General features: G+C 36.3%; 1 protein-coding gene across 24 annotated transcripts in view; it reads right to left on the bottom strand.

The window, feature by feature from the left end:
• Nucleotides 161-7,851, bottom strand: part of RPS6KB1 (ribosomal protein S6 kinase B1) — a 57,454-nt gene continuing 49,763 nt past the window's right edge. For 23 of the 24 annotated variants that reach the window (NR_161456.1, NR_161461.1, NR_161462.1 and 20 more), the window contains 2 exons: nucleotides 5,217-5,329; nucleotides 161-4,184 (listed from right to left, as the gene is read on the bottom strand). Coding sequence is in view for 9 of the 24 variants with exons in the window: in NM_001369670.1 (NP_001356599.1) it covers nucleotides 3,947-4,184; nucleotides 5,217-5,329 (351 nt within the window). In the remaining 15 variants the exon portion in view is untranslated. The remainder of the gene's footprint in view (nucleotides 4,185-5,216; nucleotides 5,330-7,851) is intronic. The other variant, NM_001272043.2, reaches the window with a different exon arrangement.

The raw sequence follows: 7,851 nt of genomic DNA, 5'->3' as shown, positions 1-7,851 counted from the left end.
CTAGCTTTCACGTAGATTGTTACATGTATTTTTTTAAGTAAACAATTCATATCTACTATCTGACATAACTTGAAAATCAAAGATGTGTAACATCTAACTTAAAAATCAATACTAAAACTTGTTATATACTTAAATAGCTTCAGTTTCTCAGCAGAACAGCTTTTAACCCATTCCTTACATACATAGTTTATTTATATGACAACTTGAACACATCTGACATGTTAAAATAAATTTAAACCATTTATACACCTGATACGTATACTAATTCCTTCCTATCTTTAAGATAATAAAAAAATAAATCACTTCTATTTATGTTCATTCAAATTTGCATTTAATTTCTATTTACATTCATTCAATCCGAAATCAAATAATACAGTCAACTAAATACAAGATGAAAAGCAGAACAGGTGTTACCCTCATAGCACTCCTAATAAGGCAGCTGAAGAATTTTATTTACTGATAGATGCAAAGCGAACTTGGGATAGGAGAAACAATAGTTTAAAGAGCAAACACAAACATAGATGAACCCATCTTTCAGATGTTATTCCGGATAATCCACTGAGATAATACTTGTGCTATAATGTTAAGAATCACACAAGAAAAAGTACTGTATTAATCAGCAACAGACCACAGGTTATGTGTGACAAATACTTTTGTGATAGTTTGTCCAGCTTGCTAGTGTCTACTCCTATGAAAAAAGGTAGATGTTTGGACATTGATGTTTTTGAGAAATTAACCATTTTCAAAGCCTTAAAATCTATTCTTCATAAATTCAACATTTCTCATGGGAATAATCTTAGATCTAGCCCTTGTAAGCTAGGAACCATATGATTAACTGAATATTCAAAATAGGTCCTATATTAAATATATAATCCAAGGCTCAGTATATTAATACTATCTAAGATGCATCTTGTTTATAATCATTCATTACCTATAGTAAAGAATGTTGAATTTATGGAGTATCATACATGCATCCTCCACCCCTGCCCACAAATTATCTTCTATCTTAAAAAATAGTATGGAAAAATCCTTCTTGAAGGATTCAAATTAGTTAAGACCATAAAGGGGGAAAAAGAACATAATTTTCCTAAAAATCTGGTTCAAAGTTCAATAATTAATACTTTACATTGTTAATCACAGCTGGTTTATAAATCCCAGTTTAGTTATTCTGTAATGCTACAAACCTTATAAAATCAAATTAGTAAACTTCAGTGATTATATTTTAATTAAAAAACAGCATGTATAAAATAAAAAAATATCCTGTAATAGCTGATTTTAAAGAAAATAATCAAGTGATGAAAAAAAAGCACTTAATCTCTTTTATACACTTACCTGGTATAACATAAAGAACCCTCTTAGAAACTCAAGACTAGTAATATCGACATCATATTTTAAACTATGCTTGGATTTTTACAAATAAATATAGATAAGCCATATTGCATAGGTGTGTGCTTTCTGTCTGTGACACTAATGTGACACTTGACATGTTTTCACAGTCATAGTAGGGATATCCATTTATGAAACAAGTTCTCAATAAACTTTCCACAGCATGGGAAATAAATTTCACTTAATAAATGTGAAGTCAGAAAAACTATGTATTTGTGTGGATGGTAGCTGTGCAATTAATGCTTTTTATGCAGAAAAGTTGCAGTGTTTGCCACTATTGCTGGCACTACTAATTATGAAAATGGTTTAACTGGGGTGGTTATAGCCAGCCAATCACAGTGCTCATGTTACTAGCAAATAGGACCTAGGAAGAATATTTTGGTGTATAAGTTTCACTGGAATTTGGTCAGGCAGTCAACACTACAGTTAGTAAACATATTTGAAAACAAGTATCAAGAGTATCACAAGCCATTTACAGTCTGAAATAATGCCTGTACATATCACCATAGCTTTTCGGGTTCTGTTTTTTCAGACATCACAAATTGTCAAAGAACAAGGATCTGCACTTTTTAAGTATAATTTCTGCCCTTAATTATTATTGTAGCTTCTAATTTACCAGCAACAGTCAAAGTTCTCAGTAGGCTGCTGCAATAAGGGAGGAGGGGGAAGAGGGAGTGATTTTTTTTTTAAAGGCTTTCTGTCCAAAGATGAACTTTTATCGATTCTTTCAATTATTGCCACAATTGAAAAGGTGTATGTCCAATCATTTTTCATGGTTCTGTTTTTGCTTACTGTCATAGGATTTCATCCCATCTCATTTGAGTTGCAATTTCAAAAAGCAAAGCCTTGCTCTTTTCTGACTGAATTCAACATGCATAAAGAATTTTATGGCTTGGATCCTATGGCTCAAAAAGGTTTGAAAACATAGCAAGCAGCATCTATTTAAAAAAATCCTAGGGTTGCAAAATATTACAAATTGACTTTGCACACTCAGACTGAAGACATTATAAAAGACAAACAAAAAAGGTGATACAACTCAACTGCAACTGCATGATCATCTATTATACCAGTATGCACTGAAATATATTTTTATAAAGCTCTGCAGATATTAAACCCTTTCACCAGCTAAAGTCATGGAAATGCTCTCTTTAAGGCAGGAAATATTTAAGAAAGGTAAAGTTACCTTTATTTTTATTCTTTTAACCTGTAAATCATTTATGTAGATTTTGTTACAATTTCAAAAACATAGTGTCCTGTTAACATGTTTCCTAAATTAAGCCACTAAGTTTTCTTTACTGTGGAAGACATTCATCAAAAGGCCATCAAATATTTTTACAATCAAAAAATGTAGCCCAAGTATAGGAGAAAAAAAAATAGACCTTTTTTTCTTTTTAAAACTGTTGAGGAAAAAAATATAAGGAAGGTAGACAGCAGAAACAGTAGAAAGAAGTAAAACTGAAAATCTTACCAATTTGCTGTAAAGAGATTAGACAGAGAGTGGGCCACAGCAACACCCTCTTCCCCTGGATATCCCTATCTCCCTCACCTTGCCGACCACAGTATGTATTTTTTATCCTGACTCTCTTCTGTTGTTCTTCAGCCATGGGCTGAAGACATTTGGTGTCTTGAACCAAATACTGGTGTAAGAACAGGTGGCGATTTTTTTTTCCAGTGCAATGCAGGCCCGGGACAATGATGAAATGTAGGACATACAACTTATGCCCATTCCAAGGCTTCCAGTTAAGCTTAGCACATAGCAGTACTGCAAGTAGAAATGATTAAATAGATTCATTTTTTTTTTCTCATATTACAGACAGGTATTGCAGCTGGGTTACTGAAAATAAACCCCAGGTCCACCCCAATCCCTCAAACGAGCCACAGCTGTGGTTAACAATGATTCATTTGCATTTTATTATTTCACCAAGAGAAGAAACAGAAGTTGTCTGGCTTTCTTCACACCAACCAATAATTTCGCATTTTAAAGTTTGGGATGTTTTTCATAATGAGCTGAATCAAAAATCTATTTGAAAAATATATATTTATATAAAAAAAAGATTCAGGTTGTTTGCACGTAAAACATCAATTGGTAAGTTTCTTTTGTCTTTGCTTCCATTTTGCTGGAAAAAGTTTGACCAAGCTTGCATGCTAATTTGTCCTTAGTTGCAAGTATTATAGGCAATTTTGTACTTTGCCTAATGAAAGGATAACCCTTCTTCAACACAATCAGAACTCAACAGTGATTCAGAAGCAACATCCTACCCTTAATACTGTCAGTTTCGAGTCATCAACATGAAAATCCTTGATAAGGTTGAGAAGATGTCGCGAGGAATCAATTAATTGATGTGCCTAAGAGTTCAGCAATACTATTTTGCTTTAAGTTTTTTTTTGCACCATTGATTGATTTTTTAAAATCCACGTTTATTTTTCCTGTGTCTGAAGTGTTCTATGTAATGACATTGACTCTCTGAAACTGTCATTTTGAGTCGTTTCACCTTGCAGGATGCTCACACATCTCCCTCTCCACCTTTTTTGCCTTAAATTCATTAAAAGCATTGCTCTGTCATAGATTCATACGCAGGTGCTCTGGCCGTTTGGAGATCATGGGAAAAGCTTGTTTTTTGTATGGCCCAGAGTTCGGCTGTCGTATTGGAAGTGGTGCCGATGCTTCCCCACTCATTGTCACATCCATCTGCTCTATGCCACTTGTTTCCATTGGGTATTCCACAGGTGTCTGAGGATTTGCTGTGCTGGCCGAAGCACCTCTTCCCCAGAAATCCCCAGGAGAAAATTTGACTGGGCTTTAAGACAAGGAAGAGCTATCATTCATTTGCTTAAGGGTCATCTCAACAAGACATATTTCCTTTACGTTTAAAGGGAGTGGGGTAACATGACATTTATTTTCATTTAATTTTATTTTCACGTGGATTAGCACAAAGGCAAAAATTGAACCATCTCTCCCCCACCTAGATTAACTGCTAGAATTTCCTAACTGGTCTCTTTACCTCTACACCTGACCCCCAAAACCCTCAATGAGATATATATACATTTAAATGCGTATTATATATATCATTTTACTCTCCCCTGCTCAAAACAGCTTTCTATTGCATTTAAAATAAAATACTTTTCCAAACCTCTGCCCTTCTCCTCACTCACCACACACTCCAGGAACACTGATTTCCCTTTCACTTCCAGGAAAAGGGCAACTTTTCTCCTCCCTCAGGGTTTTTGCATTTGCTGTTCTTCTGCCTGCAACATTCTTATACCTCCTATTTTTGTAGGGCTGGCTCTTTCCGTTCACTGCTAGATGTTACTACACCAGGGAGGCCTTTCTCTGATCACTGTGAGTAGAAGCCCCCTTGTTTTTCCTCTGCTCTCTACCAGTACATTCTTTTTTTCCCCTTTTAAATTATAGCACTTTGCACTACTTGTAATTATATTTTTGTATATCCTTTGTCTATTGTGACTTTCCCACTAAATTGTAAGCTTCATCAGGACAGGGACAATTCCTGTATTATAGTACTATATAGATACACACACATAACATGCAGTATGTAGTGCTGGTGCTCTTGGTGCACAATAAATGCTGAGTGAATGGATAAAGAGGACATTTGCCAGTATGGCTGCTTACTTTTGGGAGGGAAGGTAAACCATATAACATCATAGATTAGTCAGACTAGTCCTTTGCAATGTAAGATATAGATGCTGTGCTTATGTCAACCAAAGAGAGTATGACAGTCTTTCATTTATATAACTTGGCATAAACTTCTTAAGCAAACACTCTTGTAGGTTGTTTAAAAACAAAAAAAAGTGAAAATAAGAGTGTGAAATACCTGACAGGTGTTCGTGGGCTGCCAATAAATCTTCGAGGTGATCGGATTTTTGGTTCAAAGGAAAACTTTTCTTTCACACTTTCAAGTACAGATGGAGCCACATATGTAAAACCCTGAAAGACAGTAACAGTGGACTACAGAATGGCATTTTGTCATGTATCTCAAGAGAATGGGGTTGTTCAGTCTGACATACCTACACAATGATGCACACCTAAAACCACCAATGTGTACACTCTCCCACGTCCTCAACCTCATTTTTAGACCCGTTAACTTCTTTCCAGCCATTTCGTGAGGCACACACTTCAAGAAAGCAGAATTCCATTGAGCCTGATATGCTAGCAAACAAAATTCTACCCTACTGACAGGAATAGAAAAAAAAACAGGAAAATTCAGGCTCCATATGAAGATGTTAAATACGCCCAGGCACGGGGGCTCACGCCTGTCATCCCAGCACTTTGGGAGGCCAAGGCGGGCAGACCACCTGAGGTCAGGAGTTAAAGACCAGCCTGGCCAATGTGGTGAAACACCGTCTCTACTAAAAATACAAAAATACACCACCATGCATGGTGGTGCACGCCTGTAATCCCAGCTACTCGGGAGGCTGAGGCAGGAGGATCACTTGAACCTGGTAGGTGGAGGTTGCAGTGAGCAGAGATCGCACCACTGCATTCTAGCCTGGGCAACAGAGTAAGACTCCATCTCAAAAATTAAAAAAAAAAAAAAAAAAGATGTTAAATACTAGGAGAAATGTAAAGAAACTTCTAGTGTTTCTAGCCACAGGCATATAAGCAATTAAGTTTATCACCCTAAAACAGTTTCTTATAATCAGACCAAAGTAAAAACAATTTTCTGACTTGGCATCAAAGTCAGATCTTGTGATCTTTCTGGTTTTACGCCAATGATTGGACAGAATTCGTTTTTTGTTTTGTTTTAAGAGATGGGGTATCCCTATATTGCCCAGGCTGGAGTGCAGTGGTGATAACATAGCTCACTGCAGCCTCAAACTCCTGGACCCAAGCTATTCTCCCACCTCAGCCCCTCAAGTAGCTGTGACTATATAGGCACGTGTGATCTCTGCCCAGCTAGAATTTGGTGTTTTCTTGATGAATAAGTATCAACATTTCAAAAACCTTCAGTTGTAATAGGCAAAAATGCAGTTTTGTTCATTTTAGTTCTCTCTTGGATCTTACTATTAGGCTACCAGCTGTCATTTCTCTAGCTGTCAATGTTCATTCTTTTAACCATCTTCACCTATCTTCTATTTATCAAAATCTATGAGTAAGCATTATGTGTTACAATAAATAAGACTCAGCAAAGCTCTGAGTGAAGTCCCAAAGAGTGAGGTGCAATTCTGAAGTGCATATGATTTGTGACAGTTATATGTGAACTTCAGAGAATAATTTTACAAACGTTCTGGTGGACTAAAGCTGTAACTACCAAGAGGTACAGGCTGTGCCTTAATCATCTTTGAATTTCCTCTAATTCTGTGATGGGGTCTTACAACAGGAATTAAAATATTTGTTGAAATGAGGTTGCTAGAACCACATTATCCAGATAAGTGGGATGTCACTATATGTGTGTGTGTATGTATGTGTGTATATATATATATGTGTATATATATATATATAATTTTTTTTTTTTTTTTGAGATGGATTCTAGCTCTGTCGCCCAGGCTGGAGTGCAGTGAGGGGCGTGATCTCAGCTCATTACAACCTCCTCCTCCCGGGTTCAAGCGATTCTCCTGCCTCAGCCTCCCGAGTAGCTGGGACTACAGCCATCATGCCTGGCTAATTTTTGTATTTTTAGTAGAGATGGGTTTTCACCATATTAGCCAGGCTGGTCTGGAACTCCTGACCTTGTGATCCGCCCACCTCAGACTCCCAAAGTGCTGGGATTACAGGCGTGAGCCACTGCACCTGACCTATTTTTTTTTATTAATGTTTAAAGAGATCCACTTTATGTAGAGAATTCTGGCTACAACCTAACAAATGAGTTGCTCTATTCATTAGCCAATTTAAGTAATTGTGAAAAGCTCAACAATACTTTAACTGGCAACGAAAGCTTCAATATCTCACTTTTACCACCACAACTTTGGATTTCTTGGCAGCTAAATAAAATGCTTCTATTTTGTGGGGGGAAAACTGTCACATAAGTTGAAATTCTGCAATGTCCAATTGAGGAAAAGGTCTCTATGTTAAATCAAAGGTATAAATTCCACATCTGTAGTACATGAGAGAAAAAAAATGCCAAAATTAAAGTGATTCATGCCCACTTCCCTAACTGAACCTAAGATTTTACTAACAGAGATGCCGTAACTTTGATCATGCACACATCAAACTTGAATTTAAAAACATGCATGCACTCACTCATCTTTTATCTCTTATGTAATACTGTAAGACTATATTTTGCCTATGTGCTCTATATTAATTTATAGGATTATTACTATTCAGTGTTGTTTACTCAAAACCATACTGTACTATACACAACTTTTGCATCCCATACTAACTTAATTTTTTTAATTAATTTTTTTTTTTTTGATACGGAGTCTCACTCACTCTATCGCTCAGGCTGGAGTGCAGTGGCACAATCTTGGCTCCTGCAACCTCTGCCTCCCGGGTTCAAGTGATTCTCCTGC

The sequence above is a fragment of the Homo sapiens genome, chromosome 17, assembly GCF_000001405.40.
Source record: "Homo sapiens chromosome 17, GRCh38.p14 Primary Assembly".
Classification (NCBI taxonomy): Eukaryota; Metazoa; Chordata; class Mammalia; order Primates; family Hominidae; genus Homo; species Homo sapiens.
Note: the sequence above shows the minus strand (reverse complement) of the source record. Positions and strands in the feature narration are given on the sequence as shown.